Raw genomic sequence first — 21,926 nt, 5'->3', positions numbered from 1 at the left:
AGACAGTGCATATAAATTATGATTAATGAGACAAATGCTATAAGAAATTTTTGAGCAAAGGGAGTAAAGAGTTAAGCTAGCTAACGTGCATGGGAAAGTTTTCAGAGAAGGAAATCATTTCATTTGAAACTTGAAGTGTTAGTAGAACAAGCCTGGTTTAGAAAGCGGTCAAGTGCATTCCTGGAAGAGGTGCTATAGCACATCAGTAGGATTCAACCAGATCTGATTTCCTTTTTTTTTTTCTTTTGAGACGGAGTTTTGCTCTTGTTGCCCAGGCTGGAGTGCAATGGCACGATCTCGGCTCACTGCAACCTCTGCCTCCCGGGTTCAAGTGATTCTCCTGCTTCAGCCTCCCGAGTAGCTGGGATTACAGACATGCACCACCACACCAGGCTATTTTTGTATTTTCAGTAGACGTGGGATTTCTCCATGTTGGTCAAGCTGGTCTCGAACTCTCGACCTCAGGTGATCCGCCCGCCTCAGCTTCCCAAAGTGCCGGGGTTATAGGCATGAGCCACTGCGCCTGGCCCAGATCTGATTTCTAAGGTGAGCAAAATATAAATTAATTGAATTTTATGAGCTGAGTATTTGTATTTATTGAGCCAATCTTGGAGTCAGACTCCTCTCTCTCTCACATATAACATACCCAAGCTTTTGGCAAATCTATCAACTCTGTGTTCAAAACATATCCCAAATCCAACCATTTCTCCCCATCTTCATGGCTACTAGCCTGGTTCAAGTCACCATCAATTCTCACCTGACTACTACAGAAACATCCTAATTGGTTGTGTTGGTTCTCCGTTGCTGTGTAACAAATTGCCACACACTTAATAGCTTAAAACCACACACATTTATTATCTCACTGTTCCCGTGGGTCAGGAGTCTGAAAATGGCTTAACCAGATACTCAGCTTACAGCCTCCACAATCTGTAATCAAGATGTAGGCTTGCTATATTCTCATCTGAGGGATTGACTAGGGAAGAATTTAACTCCAAGCTCATTCAAATTGTTGGTAAAGTCAACTCTTTGTGGTTGTGTAACTGGAGACCCAGCTTCTCACTGGCTCTTGGCTGGGAGCTATCTGTAGGTCCTAGAAGTGTCTCATAGTTCCCTGCAAGTGGCCCTCTCCACAGCAGTTCACACCATGGTGGTTTGCTTCTTCAGCAGAATCACTCACACTCTGGTCGGCTAAGATGAAGTCTTATGTAATGTAACATATTCATGAGAATGACATCCATCATCTTTGCCATATTCTGTTCATTGGAAGCAAGTCACAGGTTCTGTCAGCACTTAAGGGAGAATATTACACAAGGCATGACTCATTGGAGGTCAACTAAGGCTGTGTCAACCAAATCGGTCTCCCAACTTCCACGCATGCTCTCCTACTGTTTATCTTCTATACAAAACCCAGAGTGATGTTTTTAAAGTGTAAAACGTAACAATGCCGTTCCCTTGCTCACAACCTTCTAATGGCTTAAAATCTAAAAGGCCTATAAAATCATATATATGTGATCACTGGCTACCTCACTTGCAGTCCCTCTGCTTATTCCTACCCAGTCCCATGGGAATCCTTGCTGTTCTGGAAATAGGCCAAGCACATGTCTGTCTTTGCACTTACTATTTTCTCTGCTTCAAACACTCTATTCCAGTAAATCTTTAAGACTTGAACCCTCTCTTCATTTAGGTGTCTGCTCAAATGTCACTTCTTCAGAAACTACTACTTTTAACCCTCCAATCTAAGATAGCCCTTCCAGGATGATCCACACCTGTCCTTTGCCTCATTTTCTTTCTGTCCTTTGTCTTTCTGTGTATTTTAGAATATACTTATTCACTTATTTATTAACTGTCTCTCCCACTGGAACTCAAGCTTCTTGAGGACAGGGACCCAGTCTGTCTTATTCACTGTAATTTTCCCAGTGCCTATAAAATTGCCTGGCATATAGAAGACACTTATTTTTTTGAGATGGAGTTTCGCTCTTGTTGCCCAGGCTAGAGTGCAATGGCGCAATCTCGGCTCACTGCAAGCCCACCTCCCGGGTTCAAGCGATTCTCCTGCCTCAGCCTCCCAAGTAGCTGGGATTACAGGAATGCACCACCACGCCTGGCTAATTTTTTTTTTTGTATTTTTGGTAGAGACAGGGTTTCTCCATGTTGGTCAGGCTGGTCTCGAACTCCTGCACTCCAGTGATCCGCCCGCCTCGGCCTCCCAAAGTGCTGGGATTACAGGCGTGAGCCATGGGGCCTGGCCCTTTTCCCTTTTTTTTTTTTTTTTTTTTGAGCTGGAGTCTCACTTTGTTGCTCAGGCTGGAGTACAGTGGAACGATCTTGGCTTACTGCAACCTCTGCCTCCTGAGTTCAAGCGATTCTCTCACCTCAGCCTCCTAAGTAGCTGGGATTACAGGCAACCACCACCACACTCAGCTAATTTTTGTATTTTTAGTAGAGATGGGGATTTACCATGTTGGTCAGGCTGGTCTCAAACCCCTGACCTCAAGTGATCCACCCACCTTGGTATCCCAAAGTGCTGGAATTACAGGTATGAGCCACCACGCCTGGCCTAGAAGACACGTAATTTCTTGTGATAATAAATAATGAAAAGATTGAGACACAAAACTTTTAAAAATATTTTATTGTCACTGATGATATGTTCAATTTTTCTTTTCTATTTTTTTAATTTTTATTTTATTTATTTATTTTTTTGAGACGGAGTTTCGCTTTTGTTGCCTGGGCCGCAATGCAATGGCGCAATCTCCGCTCACCACAACCTCCGTCTCCCAGGTTCAAGCGATTCTCCTGCCTCAGCCTCCCAAGTAGCTGGGATTACAGGCATGTGCCACCATGCCTGGCTAATTTTGTACCTTTAGTAGAGATGGGGTTTCTCCATATTGGTCAGGCTGGTCTCGAACTCCTGACCTCAGGTGATCCACCAGCCTCAGCCTCCCAAAGAGCTGGGATTACAGGCATGAGCCACCGCACCCAGCCTTCTATTTTTTTTCTTTAAGAGATGAAGTCTCACTATGTTGCCCAGGCTGGTTTCAAACTCCTAAGCCCAAATGATCCTCCCACCTTGGACTCCCAAACTGCTAGGATTAGAGGCATGAGCCACCACACCTGGCAAATTTTTCAAGTAAGCAGTGAATAAATCCTAAACCGTATCCTTCTGAAATCTTACTCATGATTTTTTTTTTTTGGAACAGTGAAGAACAATCAATATCTCAAATGAGATTTAAAGTCATATGTACAATCTCAGAATAGTTAATATTTCTTGGTCATCAAGTAATCAAAACTAGCATTGTGGGAAAGCCTGACGTTAACACAAAAGAAGGCAGTTATGGAGGAAGAGAAACAAAAAACACAATACATACAGAAAACAAACAGCAAAATGGCAGTTGTAAATCCTTCCTTATCAGCAATTACATTAAATGTGTATTACTGAACACTTCACATAATAGGTAGAGATTGGTGGAACAGATTTTTATTTATTTATTTATTTTTTAGACGGAGTCTCGCTCTGTCACCGCCCCGGCTAATTTTTGTATTTTTAGTAGAGATGGGGTTTCACCATGTTGGCCAGGCTGGTCTCAAACTCCTGACCTCAAGTGATCCGCCCACCTCAGCCTCCCAGAGCGCAGAGGTTACAGGCATGAGCCACCAGGCCTAGCCCCTATATTTATTTATTTATTTATTTATTTATTTATTTATTTATTGAGACAGAGTTTTGCTCATTGCCTAGGCTAGAGTGCAGTAGCGCAATCTCAGCTCACTTCAACCTCTGCCTCCCAGGTTCAAGTGATTCTCCTGCCTCAGCCTCCTGAGTAGCTGGGATTACAGGTGCACACCGTCATGCCCAGCTAATTTTTTGTATTTTTAGTAGTGATGGGGTTTTATCATGTTGGCCAGGCTGGTCTTGAACTCCTGACCTCAGGTGATCCACCCACCTCAGCCTCCCAAAGTGCAGAGATTACAGGCGTGAGCCACGATGCCGGCCTCTATTTTTTTTTTTAAGATGGAGTCTTGCTATATTGCCCAGGCTGGTCTCAAACTCCTAGCCTCAAGCAATTCTCCAGCCTTGGCCTCCAAGTGCTAGGATCACAGTTGTGAGCCACTGTGCCTAGCTGCCACTTTCCATAATGGGTAGAACAACTGGATAAAAGATGGCCAAGGAAATAGAAGATATTAACAACACTATAAATCAACTTGACATGAAAGACATCTATAGAATATCCAACATTCATTCAGCCAGGCATGGGGGTTCATACCTATAGTACCAACACTTTGGGAGGCCAATGTTGGACAATTGCCTGAAGCCAGGAGTTTGAGACAGCCTGGGCAACATAGTAAGAACCTATCTCTACAAAAATAATAGTAGTAATAATAACACCCAACATTCTAAGATATTCAAAGGTGTCTATAAAATACATGTTCGGCCAGGCGTGGTAGCTCATGCTTGTAATCCCAGCACTTTGGGAGGCCAAGGCAGACAGATCGCTTGAGTCCAGAAGTTTGAGATTAGCCTGGACAATTATAAATACAATAATTAGCCAGGCGTGGCGGTGAGTGCCTGCAGTCCCAGCTACTTGGGAGGCTAAGGTGGGAAGATTGTTTGAGCCTGGGAGGCAGAGGTTGCAGTGAACCAAGATTGTGTCACTGCACTCCAGCCTGGGTGACAGAGTGAGGCCCTGTTTAAAAAAAAAAAGTAATAAAATAAAATTAAAATAAATTTTAAAAAATACACATTCTTCTCAAGTGAACATGGAATATTTTCCAGGACAATCCATATGTTAGGCCATTAAAAAAGCTCAGAAAACTTTAAAAGACTGTAATAATACAAAGTATGTTCTCTGACCACAGTGAAATAAAATTAGAAATAATAGTAAAAGAAATTTCAGGAAATTCACACATATTGGAAATTGAACAACACAATTCTTTTTTTTTTTTTTGGTGTTGAGACAGTTTTCTCTTGTTGCCCAGCCGAGTGCAATGGCGTGATCTCAGCTCACTGCAACCTTCACCTCCCAAGTTCAAGCGATTCTCCTGCCTCAGCCTACCAAGTAGCTGGGACTACAGTGTGCAAGCCACAATGCCTGGCTAATTTTTGTATTTTTAGTAGAGACAGGGTTTCACCATGTTGGCCAGGCTGGTCGTGAACTCCTGACCTCAGGTGATTCACCCACCTTGGCCTCCCAAAGTGCTGGGATTACAGGCGTGAGCCGCTGTGTTTGGCCTGAACAACACATTTCTAAATAACTAACGGGTCAAAGAAGAAATCACATAGAAAATTAGAAATACTTTGAGATGAATGAAAATAAAAAAACCACAACCTACCTTAAATTCAATGAAGTTAAATTGGTGCTTACAGGGAAATTTACTGCTCTAAATGCCTGTATGTTAAAAAGAGTAAAGGCCAAAAATCAATAACCTAACTTTTCTCCCTAAGGAAATAGAAAAAGAAGAGCAAACTAAACCCAAATCAAGCAAACACAAGGAAGAAAATGATAACTATTATAGCAGAAATAAACAAAATAGAAAATAGACAAGATCAAGTGCATTCAGGGTGGTATGGCCGTAGAAACAAAATAGGAAATAGAATAAAAATGAAGAAAATCAGCAAAACTAAAAGTTGGTTGTTTGAAAAGATAATCAAAATTGACAACAGTTAGCTAGACTGACAAAAAAAAGAAATAAAAGAAAGAAGACTCAAAATACTAAAACCAGGAATGGAAGAGATGACAGAATACGATGAACAATTATATGCCGACAAATAAGATAACCTACATGAAAGGGGCACATTCCTAAAAAGATCCAAACTATCAAACTGCTTAAAAAATAGACAACCTGAATAGAACTATAGCAAGTAGAAAGGTTGATGAATCATTAAAAAACCTTTCTTTTTTTTTTTATTTTTGAGATGGAATCTCGCTCTGTTGCCCAGGCTGGAGTGCAGTGGTGCAATCTCGGCTCACTGCAACCTCCGCCTCCCGCATTCAAGCTATTCTCCTGTCTCAGCCTCCTGAGTAGCTGGGACTACAGGCACCCACCACCACGCCCGGCTAATTTTTGTATTTTTAGTAGAGACGAGGTTTTGCCATGTTGGCCAGGGTGGTCTCCAACTCCTGACCTCAGGTGATCCACCCGCCTTGGCCTCCCAAAGTGCTGGGATTCCAGGCGTGAGCCACCGCACCCAGCCAAAACTTTTCTATAAATAAAAGCCCAGAACCAGATGACGTCACTAGAGAATTCTACCAAGTATTAAAGAGGAATGAACACCAATCCTTCACGAAACCTTCTGAAAATATGAGAAGGGAACACTTTTCTACTAATTTGTGAGACCAATATTGGCCTGATACCAAATACTAGCATACTAGCAAACTGCATATAAAAAGGATTATGCTGGCCAGGAGTGGTGGCTCATGCCTGTAATCCCAGCACTTTGGGAGTCCGAGGCAGGCAGATCACAAGGTCAGGAGATCGAGACCATCCTGGCTAACACAGTGAAACCCAGTCTCTACTAAAAATACAAAAAAATTAGCCGGGCGTGGTGGCGGGCGCCTGCAGTCCCAGCTACTCGGGAGGCAGATGCAGGAGAATGGCGTGAACCTGGGAGGTGCAGCTTGCAGTGAGCCGAGGCCACGCCACTGCACTCCAGCCTGGGCAACAAAGTGAGACTCCATCTCAAAAAAGAAAAAAAAAAGTTTATCCCAGGAATGTAAGATTGGTTTGATGTACAAAATAAATGAATATAATGTACCATATTAATAGAATAAAAACCAAAATCATATGATCGTCTCAGTAGATGCAGAAAAGCATCTGACAAAATCCAACACTCTTTCTGAATAAAAACACTCAACACAAATAGAAAAATAACTTCCTCGGGGAACATCACACACCGGGGCCTGTTGTGGGGTGGGGGGAGGGGGGAGGGATAGCATTTGGAGATATACCTAATGTTAAATGACGAGTTACTGGGTTCAGCACACCAACATGGCACGTGTATATGTATGTAACTAACCTGCACGTTGTGCACATGTACCCTAAAACTTAAAGTATAATAAAAAGAAAAGAAAAGAAAAGAAAAATAACTTCCTCAATCTGATAAAGTTCATCAACAAAAATCACACGGCTACCACCATACCTAATGGTGGAGGACAAAATGCTTTCCCGCGAAGATCAGGAACAAGAAAAGGATGTCCATTCCTGCCATTTCTTTCTTTCTTTCTTTTTTTTTTTTTTTTTTTTTTTTTGTTTAGAGACGGAGTTTCACTCTTGTTGCCCAGGCTGGAGTGCAATGGCATGAACTCAGCTCGCTGCAACCTCTGCCTCCCAGGTTAAAGCAATTCTCCTGCCTCAGCCTCCCAGGTAGCTGAGACTACAGGCTCCCACCACTACACCCAGATAATTTTTACATTTTTAGTAGAGACGGAGTTTCACCATGTTGGCCAGGCTGGTCTCGAACTCCTGACCTCAGGTGATCTGCCCACCTTGGCCTACCAAAGTGCTGGGATTATAGGCATGAGCCACCTCACCCAGCCAAATTTTTCACTTTTTGTAGAGATGAAGTCTCACTATGTTTCTCAGGCTGGTCTCAAACTCCTGAACTCAAGTGATCCTCCTGCCTTGGCCTTTCAAAGTACTAGTACTATTTCAACATGTTTTGTAATTTTTTTAGCAACAGAGTCTCACTTTGTCACCCAGGCTAGAGTGTAGTGGCACAATCATAGCTCACTGCAGCTTTGAACTCCTGGGCTCAAGCAATCCTCCTGCTTCAGCCTCCCAAAGAGGAGTGTGCCATCATGCCCAGCTAAATTTTTAATTTTTTGTAGTGATGAGGTTCTCACTGTGTTGCCCAGGCTGGTCTTAAACTCCTGGCCTCAAATGATTCTCCTACCATGGCCTCCCAAAGTACTGGGATTACAGGTGTGAGCCACTGTACCTGGTAAGAGTATATGTTTTGCACTTCTTTTTTTAGTTTATTCCTAAACATTTTATTCTTTTTATGCTGAATGAAATTATTTTCTAAGTTTCATTTTCAGATTGCTAGTGTATAGAAAAACAATTGATTTTTATATATTGATGTTGTATCCTACAAACTTGCTGAACTCATTTATTAGCCCTAAAAATTTTTCGCAGATTCTCTAGAATTCTCTATATTTCATGTACGTATGTATGTAAAAAGGGATAGTTTTAGCCCTTCCTTTACAATCTGGCAATTGTAGGCAGAAGTTGCAGTGAGCCAAGATCACACCACTGCACTCCAGCCTGGGTGACAGAGCGAGACTCCGTCTCAAAAAAAAAAAAAATAAAGAAGGATGAAATAGTAATACATGCTTTAACATGGATAAATATTAAAAACATTATGGTAAGTGAAAGAAGGCATGCACCAAATGCCACATACTTGATGATTTTGTTTATATGAAATTTCCAGGCCGGGCACGGTGGCTCACGCCTGCAATCCCAGCACTTTGGGAGGCCAAGGCTGGTGGATCACCTGAGGTCAGGAGTTCGAGACCTGCCTGGACAATACGGTGAAACCCCGTCCCTACTGAAAATATAAAAATTAACCGGATGTGGTGGCAGGCACCTATAATCCCAGCTACTCAGGAGGCTTAGGCAGGAGAATCGCTTGAACCTGGGAAGCGGAGGTTGCAGTGAGCCGAGATCGCGCGATTGCACTTCAGCCTGGGCAACAAGAGCAAAACCTCGTTTCAAAAAAAAAGAAAAGAAAAGAAAAGAAATTTCCAGAATATGCAAATCTATAGAGACAGAAAAGAGATTATTGGTTTCCAGGAGCTAGAGGGAGGAAAAGATGGAGAGTTACTGCTAATGTAGTAAAACACATGATTTCCTAGGGCTGATAAATATATATATATATTTTTTTCGTTGTTGTTGTTACAGAAGAGAGTGTGAACACAGTTTCCCACTGCCAAAGATTATGCAGTTGAGTTCTCCACATTTGGGGAAATTGCAGGGATCAGCACATCCAGAGTGCAATGAATAAGCCTCACCCTGGGAAAATCACCTTTGTGATGATGGTATTTCACCTCCTAGGTAAGTATGAAAATATTCTTGAATTAATTAGTGGTGGAGATTGCATAACCTTGTGAACTTACCACAAATCCTGAGCTATATATTTTAAAAGGATGAATTCTATGGTGTGTAAATTATATTTCAATTTTTAAGAAAGAATCTACAAAATTTATGAAGAAGTAGGTTGTAAGGAGCTACTTAAGCAAGAATATCTTTCTGGCTGGAGAGACATGGTTCTTCATGGAGTCTACAGACAGGGTAGGAAACCCAATCCACTTCCCTTCCCTAATAGGTAGGTTCTGCTCTTCACTTTATCCAAATGTCCCTCTTTTTTTTTTTTTTTGAGGTGGAGTTTCACCCTTGTTGCCCAGGCTGGAGAGCAGTGGCGCGATCTCGGCTCACTGCAACCTCCACCTCCCAGGTTCAAGCGATTCTCCTGCCTCAGCCTCCTGAGTAGCTGGGATTATAGGTGTGCACCACCATGCCTGGCTAATTTTTGTATTTTTAGTAGAAACAGGGTTTCATCATGTTTGCCAGGCTGGTCTCAAACTCCTGACCTCAGATGATCCGCCCACCTCAGCCTCCCAAAGTGCTGGGATTTACAGGTGTGAGCCACTGCGCCCAGCTTCTTCCTCCATTTTCTTTCTCATTCTCTCCCCGGCTTTGTTTCCCCTCTCAACTCATTCCTTGATCATTTATGTTTTCCTTTTCCTTTTTATGTCTTCTCATCCCTTTATCCAGGTCTCTACTTTCCACCCCTGCCTCCTGCTTCTTCCTTCTCCCTTCCTATTTCCTCCCCTCTCTCCTAACTCACCACAAAATGGAAATAAATGGTATTTTAAAGCATTTTTTGTAAGAATTATGTACTTTTTTGTTTGCTTAGGTGGAAAAGGACATGATTTTGATGTTTAATGTTTCTTTAAGGAAAAACAACTCTAAATTAATTACATAGTTGGTTTTGCTTTAGGGAATGTAATCAGCAATTTTTAAAAAAGAAAGATTATCCACTCATGCTACATGACTAGTTAGAAATAAATAATTGAGGGAAAATACTTTCATGAACATTATAAAGTGATTTGTAAATATGAGCAGACACTACGGGTAAACACTGATAATATCTAGTGTGGTGGTGTTCACTGATAGCTCTTAATTATTATTTGGCTGTTCTATGTGTAGACATGTCTGAGTCAACCATTTAGGCTACAAATTGAAAACCTCCAACACAGACAGTTTCATCTGAAATATAAATGTGATTATATTTTCCCCCAGGAACATCCTTTTCGAACTAAAAAAAAAAAGAAAAAACCCAACATGGGTTGTAAGTTCTTCTCTCGTGAAGCCATCTACAGAATGGCCAATTATTCTCTGTCGTTGATCTGGAAGAGCGAGTAAGTACAAAGCCACAAAGTTGTCATCTTCTTCAAATAAAATTCTGATCTCTGGCTTGAATGCTGAAAGATTTACTGTTTACTTGTGTGAATAGGTCAAGAGAAATAACTTTTTTCTTAACAGTCATTTTATAAGAAAAGCATATTTCATTTGTTGACAAAACGTTAAGAAAATGAACTGGTTAAGTCTCATTGGTCTTCATGATTGAAATTCTAGCACCCAAAGTGGTAGTGTCAGAGCAATGAGACACCAGATAATGGTCTCAGAAGCCTTCCCAAACAATGTGGCTGATTCATTAGAAGGGGGAAGGGGCAGAAAAGGCCGACTCAGTCCGTTCCTAAGAGGCCATCTATCCTGTCTTGAAGCAGACAGAGTGCTTTACTATGGGGCCTACTTTGGTATATTGGTACAACTATTATTGAATGTTAGAATTATTTTTAGATACTAAGTTTTAAGCACTCTCAGGACAGCTAAAGAAGGTGGATTCTCATCTGAAGCGTTTCTGCTACTGACTGACTCTAGCAGTCAGCCGACTGGCACCTTTAAGATCCATCTAGTATGGTTTGAAGAGCTTGGTATTTGTTTGTCTTTCTTGTGCTACACAAAGACTCTGTGTCTGGGTCTGTCAACTGTGCAGCAAAAATGAGTTTCCACTTTTTGCTGAGCACACAACTAGACTATTTTTCTAAACTTGCCTTGTAGTTAGTTGTGGCCACACAACTGAATTCTGATCTATGGAACAAATTCTGATCTATGGAACAAAATAATGATCTATGACATTATTTTAAGAAATACGTAAGTCTCTTCTCTGCTCTACTTCCCCCTTTACTGGCTAGATGCTGATGACAGTGAGGATTTGAGGAAAGGAGAGCTACATAATAAACTTAACATAAGGGGCCCTGATAAAGAGAGGGTCCACCACCCCTCAGCAACAACAACCTCTTAGGTGAGCAAGAAATGAACGGTTACTATGTTTTAGTACTATATATTTTGAGGTCTATTTATTACAGCTGTTAGTATGAGCCTATGTCACAGTGCATTAGGATTGCTATAACAAATTACCATAGACTGGGTGGTTTATAAACAACAAAAATTTATTTTTCATATTTCTGGAGGTTGGGAGTCCCAGATCAAGATGCTGGCAAATTCAGTGTCCGGTGACAGCCTGCTTTCTGGCTCATAGAATTTGGTAATTTCACTATAAGTTCACATGGTGCAAGGGGCAAGGGAGCTTTCTCCAGCCTCTTTTATAAGGATCCCATCCATGAGGGCGCTTCATGACCTAATCACCTCTCAAAGTCCTCATATCCTAATATCATCATCTTGGGGGTCAGGGTTTCAACATATTAATTGGGAGAGGAGCTGGGCGCGGTCGCTCACACCTGTAATCCCAGCACTTTGGGAGGCTGAGGTGGGTGGATCACCTGAGGTCAAGAGTTTGAGACCAGCCTGGGCAACATGGTAAAACCCTATCTCTACTAAAAATACAAAAATTAGCTGGGCGTGGTGGCAGCCGCCTATAACTCCAGCTACTAGGGAGGCTGAGGCAGAAGAATGGCTTGAACCTGGGAGGTGAAGGTTGCAGTGAGCTAAGATCACACCACTGCACTCCAACGTGGGTGACAGTGTAAGACTGCATCTCAATAAAAAAAAAAAAATTGGGAGAGGAGTGCATAAACATTCAGGCCATAGCACCCTAACTACTAACTGATTGTAATGGCTAGTAATTGAAGTATTGCAATTAAAGGAAGCAGTACCAACAGATGTGCCTTCACAGAAGGCATGGCAAATACGCCTTAGAAATATAACTCTTTTACCTTCTTCTGTTTCTTTCTTTCTTTCTTTCTTTTCTGAGACAGAGTTTCACTCTTTTTGGCCAGGCTGGAGTGCAATGGTACAATCTCAGCTCACTGCAACCTCCACCTCCTAGGTTCAAGTGATTCTCCTGCCTCAGCCTCCCAAGAAGCTGGGATTACAGGCGCCTGCCACCATGCCTGGCTAATTTTTGTATTTTTAGTAGAGATGGGGTTTCACTATATTGGTCAGGCTGGTCTCAAACTCCGGACCTCAGGTGATCTGCCTGCCTCAGTCTCCCAAGGTGCTGGGATTACAGGTGTCAGCCACCGTGCTCGGCCTGTATTTGTACTTTCTAAGTTTTTGCGATACCAACTTATATATACTAGGCAGAGTGCACAAAAAATAATAGATTAAAATGAGGACATTTTTATCCCTCTTGATTTCCTTTAGTTGTTGTTGTTGTTGTTGTTGTATTTATTTTTTTACTCCAGGACAGTCCACCAAGTTGTTTTATTAAAGACAGGGCCACAGGCTAGGCATGGTGGTTCATGCCTATAAACCCAGAACTTTGGGAGGCCAAGGCTGGCAGATCGCCTGAGGTCAGGAGTTCGAGACCAGCCTGGCCAACATGGTGAAACTCTGTCTCTACTAAAAATACAAAAATTAGCCAGGTGTGGTGGTGGGCACCTGTAATCCCAGCTACTCAGTAGGCTGAGGCAGGAGAATCACTTGAATCCAGGAGGCGGAGCTTGCAGTGGGCCGAGATTGCACCATTGCACTCCAGCCTGGGTGACAGAGTGAGACTCTGTCTCGAAAGAAAAAATAAATAAATAAATAAATAAATAAATAAAGGCAGGGCCTTACTATGTTGCCCAGGCTGGTCTTGAACTCCTGGGCTCAAGTGATTCTCCTGCCTCGGTCTCTCAGAGTGCTGGGATTACAGGTGTAAGCCACTGCACCTGATCCCCTCATAATTTTCTAATTTTATCTGGAAGTTTCTGGGACCTTCCTGGGAAACAGAGTCTGAGAGTCTGAGATTTTTGTGCAGAAGGTTAACTGCGGTGCACTTTCAGGATCAGCACTTGTGAAGAGTAAAAAAAACAGAACTAGGCAAAAGCAGAAGTTGAACTCCTATGCAATTGCAAAAGAGGCCTCTGCTGATCCTACAGAGAGCTTTGAAGCTGTGGTAGCCCTTCAAAGTTGTTCCAAATGGAGGCAAAGTGTCTGGGCCATTTTGGATGCTGGCTGTCCCCAGGGAGGAGTGTAACTTTTTTTTTAAGATGGAGTCTTGCTTTTGTCGCCAGGCTGGATTGCAAAGGCACAATTTTGGCTCACTGCAACCTCCACCTCCTGGGTTCAAGTGATTCTCCTGCCTCAGCCTCCCGAGTAGCTGGGATTACAGGCGTATGCCACCACACCCAGCTAATTTTTGTATTTTTAGTAGAGACGAGGTTTCACCATGTTGTCCAGGCTGGTCTCGAACTCCTGATCTCGGTTGATCCACCCGCCTCGGCCTCCCAAAGTGCTGCGATTACAGGCATGAGCCATTGTGCCCGGCCGAGAAGTATAACTTTGGGCTAGATAACTTCTTTCAGCCCAGGGCAATTCTTTGAGAGAAACTGAGTTGTGAGCCATCAGCAGGCAATATCCAGCAGCTGGAGGGGTGAGTTCCTTGATCCGAAAGGGATCTGGTAGGGACATAACATACACTGTATGCATATTAGATGGACTGTATTATTTTGTTACAAAAAGAATAATAGCAGGATAGAAATAGGGAGAAATTCGAGTAAAAAGGAAAGAGAAAAAAAGCATAAATCAGTATTTGAGGAAAAGGGAAAATATAGAAGAAATTGAAAAATAATTAAATAACACTAAAGTATAAAATTATTTGTCATAAACAATCATTTCACAACACAGTGCATTCTAGTTGAAAACAGGCATTGTAATGGCCAAGGTCACTTGGTACATCAGAATTAGAGTTATAGAAAACACCTGTGAATCATGTTTGGCGGCTTGGGCTGTAACCTTCAAAGCACATTAAAATGATTGGAAATGCATTCTGTTAAGCGATTTACCAGCAGAGGTCATTGAGTCAGAAGAACACTCTCAGAGCATGAAGAGGCAGTATGATGAATATTGATGCTGTGAGTAAAGGAATTTAGATTTAGCAACTTTGAGTCTTGGCTTATCTATGAATTGCTGACTTTTAATTGTCTCCTGGGAAATTCAAAATCTATGTATATCTGGCTTTGGAATCCATTATGAGAATATTTTGTTTGCCTACTGACCATCACACTTTGAGTTCCGCCAGAAGCTGACCCTGAGACAAAGATTCGAGGACTAGTGGTTTATTTGAAAGTTGCAGGAAACACTGGTATGGCAGGTGTACGACACAGGGATAGAAAATGCAGCCACTCAAAAGTACGTTAGAAGCTTAGCCCCACCGTGAAATAAAACACACACTTTAGAATTACCTTGGCTCAAGGACTAGGAAGCTGGGGTATCAATCACCAGCACTTATTGGTCATTGGTAATGGCTCCTCCTGGGCATAGTAATTCTAAACTTCAGGCCTGTTTTGTGCACAGGTAGAGCAGGCTCCTTGGGCTTGGGGAAATGGCCTGAGGGCAGAGAGGCACGTACTGACAGCTGGAAGCTTGCAGAGAAGACCTGAGGGATATGAGCAAGGACCTGTCACTGTGGCCTCTGCTACACTGGCAGTCCTAAATATATTTTACTTGTTATGATATAGTCAGTTTCCATCCCCTGAGAACAAACCAAGTTGTGGCCAGGAGAGGGTGCCCAGATGGGTGCTGAGAAACAAGAGGAAACCATTCTGAGATTAAGCATTTCAGTGTGGACTAGGTACAAGGGCAAAACTGAAAGCTGACAGCAGCTTAACCAGGCACTCAATGCTCCTGGAAAAGTCCTATGTATGAAAGCCCACAGAGGTGGTTTCTTCCATTCATTCATTTGGACTATATGATTCCTGAACAGAAGGATAACAACAGAGTGGAACGTTTTCAGGTAGCAGTTACCTTGGTTCTGTGCCAGGTGGATTACTCACTGCTCACAAAGCTCCAGCTGGTATTTACCATCTAACAAAAGAGGAAAGAAAGGAGAAAAGTTCTTCTGCTGATTTTCTCATATCATTGTGCATAATGTGTGAGAGATGAGACAACATGATGGGGAAGAACAAGAAAAATTTCCCATGGATCTCGTTTATTTTTATCATGGGACATCAATTTATTTCTACCACTTAGGGAATATAAGATTCTCCAAAGTTTTGATGCTTTAGCTATATTTTGTTTATTAACTTCATATCTGAAGAATAACATTTAATTGGCTCACTTCCTGAAGGGCTTGTTTCATATCCTTGACTCAGATTACTATTGCATGATGAAGGAACAGCTTTACTCTCTCCTCTGACACAGAGCTGACTGAAGAACAATTCTGTGTCTCCCCCAAAATGAAATAAAGACTAGAGCAAGAAATGCCATGACCCTAAACATTCTCTTATGTTTTTACTAAGAAAATCCCCCTAAAAATTTAATCTGTAAAATCCCAACCAACCAGCCAGGATCATATTATCAAATTTATTTAACAGATCTTTATGTACTTCATATACTATGTACAGACTGTTGAGAGGAATACAGAAATGTGTAGTCCATGCTCCTAAACTTTATGGAGTGTATTAATTTTGAATTCAGAAGGCACGAAAGCAATTAATTGTAACAACCCAAAGTAGAATTAGTGTTCTAATATCACGTGAGAACATTAATGCTGCTAATAGCCCCTCTCTCATTAACCCTTCTAGCCCTTATATTTCATAATACATTATATAGAAGTTTTTTAAATTCTACCTTCAGTAGTTCCCTATGGTTTTTCCAACTCAAATGATAATTTACTTAAGATCAGGAAGCAGATCTTCAGAGCAGTGCTTCCTAAGTGTATACAAAGGCCCGTGATTCTGCATGTCCAGCAATCTCCCAGAGGCCAAGACTGCTGGTCCTCTGATCATCTCTTTTGTCCCCTGTAGCTTTGGCCACACTGTTCAGAAAACACCTGAAGATTCAAGATTGCAAAATTAATTTTGAAACTATCAATCACTCTTATTGCACCAGGAAAACTAGTTAGGAAGTTCTCAAAACACGGTAGATACTTCATGTGCTCAACAAATTATAGGGCAAATTGGATATGTTAGAATACTGTCTCTCCAACATTTACCCTCTTGGTGCTATTCTCTGTGCACTAAGCCTAAAGATTAAACATAGGAACATATCCTGCACTTTTTTTATTTTATTTTTATTTTTTTGAGGCAGAGTCTTGCTCTGTTGCCCAGGCTGGAGTGCAGTGGCATGATCTTGGCTCACTGCAACCTCTGCCTCCCGGGTTCAAGCAATTCTCCTGTCTCAGCCTCCCGAGTAGCTGGGACTACAGGCACACGCCACTGTGCCTGGCTAATTTTTGTATTTGTAGTAGAGACAGGTTTCACCTTATTGGTCAGGCTGGTCTCAAACTTATGACCTCAGGTGATCCACCCTCCTTGGCCTCCCAAAGTGTTGGGATTATAGGTGTTAGCCACTGCGCCTGGCCTATCCTGCACTTTTTAAAGAGGATGAAACATGTGTCTTTGTATTTTAACTCTGGTCTCTCCACAGAATTGCTCAGTTAACATTTCCTCTGGGTTATTTTATTTTATTTTATTTTTGAGATGGAGTCTTGCTCTGTCGCCCAGGCTGGAGTGCGGTGGCACCATCTCGGCTCACTGCAACTCCCGCCTCCTGAGTTCAAGCGATTCTCCTGCCTCAAACTCCCAAGTGCTGGGATTACAGGGACCCACCACCACGCCTGGCTAAATTTTTGTATTTTCAGAGAGAGGGGGTTTCACCATGTTGGCCAGGCTGGTTTTGAACACCTGACCTCAGGTGATCCACCCGCGTCAGCCTCCCAAAGTGCTAGGATTACAGGTATGTACCACTATGCCCGCCCTCAGGGTTATTATACTTGCTTTGCAGAGTAAGTTCTTTTGTAAGAAAGGGTGTGGAACTGAGTGCTGGTCATGGGCTCCAGAACAACTATTAAGCCTCAGTGCTGTGTAACAGTTCCAGAACAGTACATGCGTGGTGACAGCCTGCTGCTAATGTAGCCTAGTCCTCCCCCGCAAAGTAAAACACACAATGCAGGCTTCAGCCTGTTTTGTTTGATATATTTTGTCCCCCTCCAGCAGTTCATTTTATTTATTTATTTATTTGAGACAGGGTCTCACTCTATCGCCCAGGATGGAGTGCAGTGGTGCAATCTCAGCTCACCGCAACCTCCACCTCCCAGGGTTCAAGGAATTCTCCTGCCTTGTTGGCAGGTTGGTCTCTAACTCCTGACCTCAAGCAATCCACCCACCTCGGCCTCCCAAAGTGCTAGGATTACAGTTGTGAGCCACTGCACCCAGCCTACCAGCAGTTGATATTGAAATGAATTCTTCATGGCTTAATCTTTAGTATCCTGGGTCTTTCTTACCCCAGTGTAAGCCCCTCTAGTTATCTAGTGCCTCCCATACATCCCCAAACCAATCTCTGCTTCCTCTTCTTTGCCCTTGATGGGTCTTCCTACCAAACTTTCTCATTCTGCCCTTTGGGACTTTTATTCTCTCCATTGCAGTTTGAGTGATCTTACATAAACACAAGACTGATCAAGTCACTTTGCCTTAAATCCCTCCAAATGGCTCTCACTGCCCTCAAAAAATGCAAAAAATGTTGGAACTCATTAACATAATGGAGAAAGTCCCCACCTTCCACTTTAGCCAGTTTGTTTTAGTTCCTGGAATGTCCCATTCTCTTCTACCCCTGGTTCTTCGAGTGCTGTTTCCTCTATCTGCACACTTTCTCTAGTTTTATTCCTTTTTGTACATTAGGTCTCACCTAGCAGTTTCTATGTTTGAGCCTCTTTCCCTGACCCCAGGAATGAAGCTACCAGGGTTTGCCTGTACTCCCATCAATGCCCTTACCCAGTGCAGAGTAATTTCCTGTTTTCTTGTCTGCTTTCCCTGTTAGGCAGAAAGGTTCACCAGTCTTTGCCTTGTTCATATAGTACCCTCAGGGAGTAGCACGTAATAGATTCTCAACAGAACCACCTTCATGAGCACTGAGAAGGGAGCTGTGGGCTTGGGATTTAATGTTCAGCAGTTGTCCTCTTATACTTAATAATTTATTTTTGAATTTGTGTTTTGTAAATGAAGACCAGTGGAACAATGGAGCATGCACCAGGGGTTTGAAGTCTAGGCTCTAGCCTGGTTCCACCTCACTGGATGCTCTCCTGCCCCTACTCAGTGACTACTGCCATCCTTCTACATCCCCACACACCCACCAACAATCTGGGCACAGGAGGAGCACTATGACCACCTGTGGAGTCACTCACAGAGTCTGCAATGTCTGCAAGGGTCTGCAAATATCCACATGCCCAAGGGAACACGACATTGACTAGCAAATATAAAACATAATTTCAGGTTGAGAAGGAGACTGCAGAAGAAAGAAAAATACTTTTTTCTTGCTTTCTGAACAAGGAGTTTTCCATTTTCATTTTTCACTGGGCCCCACAAACTATGTAGCAAGCCCTGGTTCTCAATGAGTATTTGTTGAAAAGATTAATCAGAGTAATTTGATGAACCAACTGCATGTTGTTTCTTCAAAGCAGTCACCTAGAGAGATTTTCCAACAGTGTTGTCATTTCTTAAAATACTTTGGAACTTTTGAGAAAGTCACTCCTTTGTTTAACAGTTTTTTGAGCATCTACTATGTGCCAGATTCTGGTGTTAAGCAGTGAATTATTCAGACAAGACTGGAAAATCTATTCTTGGAATTACTTTGGAGTGGACTTACTTTTTGAAAGTAGCCAGAAGTCTCTGGGGATCACATTTGGCGAATAAAGTGCACTATAAAGCTAAATAATAGCAATCATATGACTTGAGACTAAAATAAGCTTTATAACAATGAAACCACAAATTAAACATATTGGGTTTCTTGGCCGGGCATGGTGGCTCATGCCTGTAATCCCAGAAATTTGGGAAGCTGAGCAGGGTGAATCACCTCAGGTCAGGAATTCGAGACCAGCCTTGCCAACATGGTGAAACCCTATCCCTACTAAAAACACAAAAATTAGTCCGGGCGCAATGGCTCATGCCTGTAATCCCAGCACTTTGGGAGGCCGAGGCAGGCGGATCATGAGGTCAAGAGTTCAAGACCAGCCTGGCCAACATGGTGAAACCCCATCTCTACTAAGAATACAAAAATTAGCCGGGCATGGTGGCAGATGCCTGAGGTGGGAGAATCACTTGAATCCAGGAGGCGGAGGTTGTAGTGAGCCAAGATCATGCCACTTCCTTCCAGCCTGGGCCACAGAGCGAGACTCCGTCTCAAAAAAACACAACAAAAAATTAGCCAGGTGTGGTGGCGCACTCCTGTACTCCCAGCTACTTGGGAGGCTGGGGCAGGAGAATCGCTTAAAGCTGGGGAGGTGGAGGTTGCAGTGAACCAAGATTGCACCACTGCACTTCAGCCTGGGTGGCAGAGTGATACTCCACCTCAAAAAAAAAAAAAAAAAAAATATATATATATATATATGGGGTCCTTATATGAATTTATAAAATTATTTTAAACAAACATTGAAAATTATTTCTTTCCTTTTTTTTTTTTGAAACGGAGTCTCACTCTCTCGCTCAGGATGGAGTGAGTGGTGCGATCTCAGCTCACCACAACCTCCGCCTCCTGGGTTCAAGCAATTCTCCTGTCTCAGCTCCCCGAGTAGCTGGGATTATAGGTGCATGTCACCATGCCCAGCTAATTTTTGTACTTTTTAGTAGAGATGGGAGTTTCACCATGTTGGACAGGCTGGTCTCAAACTCCAGACCTTGTGATCCACTTGCCTCGGCCTCCCAAAGTGCTGGGATTACAAACGTGAGCCACAGCACCTGGCCAAAAATTATTTCTTAATAAATGTAGAGTATCCCAAGGTTACTACCTTGATGCAGAAATTACAATTTAAATGTAGAAGTTCTATAGTAAATATCTTTTTTTAAAAAAAAAACTTTTTTTGGTCAGTTCCATTTTTCTATATTGTCATTTCTATTTTCTTTCTTTTTTTTTTTTTTGAGTCACAGACTTGCTTTGTTGCCCAGGCTGGAGTGCAGTGGCGAGATCTCAGCTCACTGCAAACTCTGCCTCCTGGGTTCAAGTGATTCTCCTGTCTCAGCCTCCTGAGTAGCTGGGATTACAGGTGCCCACCACCACACCCAGCTAATTTTTGTATTTTTAGTATAGATGGGTTTTCGCTATGTTGGCCAGGCTGGTCTCGAACTCCTGACCTCAAGTGATCCCCCCCACCACCTTGGCCTCCCAAAGTGCTGGGATTACAGGCGTGTGCCACCACACCCGGCCTGGTTTTTTATTTTCTTAAACATTACTTTTTCACATAATCCCAGACACAAAAGGAATCTGCAGCTGGCCAGAATGTGGTTATTAGGAATAACCTATTTCCACAATCACATTATTCTCATAATTTCCACCATGACTTGTTTGCTGATTTATTGGAGCTTCCAAATTATGATTTTGTTCATTTCTTGAATCCTTGTGATAATCTATTTATTTTGCAATACCTTCTCTATCTAGGCCAGACACAGGCTTATTAGCTGTGTTACCTTAACTTCTTTATGCCTCAGCTTCCTCATAGGATTGTAGTGAGGACTAAGGAATTAACATATGCAAAGACCTTAGCGTACTGCTTGGCATATGGTAAATGCCACACAAGAACTTTATTATAGGCCGGGGTGTGTTGGTTTATCCCTGTAATCCCAGCAGTTTGGGAGGCGAGGTGGGAGGATTGCTTGAGACCAGGAATTGAAGACCAGCCAGGCAATATAGCAAGACCCTGTTTCTACAAAAACATATTTAAAAATTAGCCAGGTGTGGTGGCATGTGCCAGTAGTTCTAACCACTTGGGAGGCTAAGGCGGGAGGATCGCTTCAGCCTAGAAGCGCAAGGCTGCAGTGACCTATGATTGTGTCACTGCACACTACTCTGTTGTCCAGGGGAGTGCAGTGGCTCGATTTCAGCTCACTGCAACCTCCGCTTCCTAGGTTTAAGCAATTCTCCTGCCTCAGCCTCCCAAGTAGCTGGGATTACAGGCACGTGCCACCACACCTGGATAATTTTGTATTTTGGGTAGAGATAGGGTTTCACCCTGTTGGCCAGGCTGGTCTCGAACTCCTGACCTCAAGTGATCCACCTGCCTTGGCCTCCCAAAGTGCCAGGGTTACAGGTCTGAGCCATCATGCCTGGTCCCAATAATTATTATTATCTGGCCTTATGCATCTAGGTCAGAGGTAAACAAAGTTTTTCTCAGAAGGGCCACATAGTAGATATTTTAGGCTTTATAGGTTAGATGATCTCTGTCACAACTATTCAACTCCACCATTGTAACACCAAAGTCAGCCTTAAATAATACATAAGTGAATGAGCATGGATGTGTTCCAATAAAACTTTATAAAAACAGGCAGCTGGTCAGTTTTGGCCCATGGGCTGTCATTTGCTGATCCCTGACTAGGCCTTTTCAACTAAGGTTTGCATGTGGATGGCTGGGAAAGGCTTAGCCAGGAGTCAAGAATGGAGGAGCAACAGGACCCCAGTCATCTGAAGCCCAGGTCACAGTAGTAACAGGCCTCTGTAGA

General features: G+C 42.6%; 1 long non-coding RNA gene and 1 pseudogene across 1 annotated transcript; one reads left to right on the top strand and one right to left on the bottom strand.

The window, feature by feature from the left end:
• On the bottom strand, positions 8,892–9,053 carry RNU1-96P (RNA, U1 small nuclear 96, pseudogene; annotated as a pseudogene).
• On the top strand, positions 8,910–10,403 carry LOC105377005 (uncharacterized). The gene is made up of 3 exons (XR_001740552.2): positions 8,910–9,045; positions 9,178–9,282; positions 10,294–10,403. It is a non-coding gene; the product is annotated as an uncharacterized LOC105377005 (long non-coding RNA).
• Positions 10,404–21,926: the final 11,523 nt, after the last annotated feature.

The sequence above is a fragment of the Homo sapiens genome, chromosome 3 (genome assembly GCF_000001405.40).
Source record: "Homo sapiens chromosome 3, GRCh38.p14 Primary Assembly".
Taxonomy (NCBI): domain Eukaryota; kingdom Metazoa; phylum Chordata; class Mammalia; order Primates; family Hominidae; genus Homo; species Homo sapiens.
Note: the sequence above shows the minus strand (reverse complement) of the source record. Positions and strands in the feature narration are given on the sequence as shown.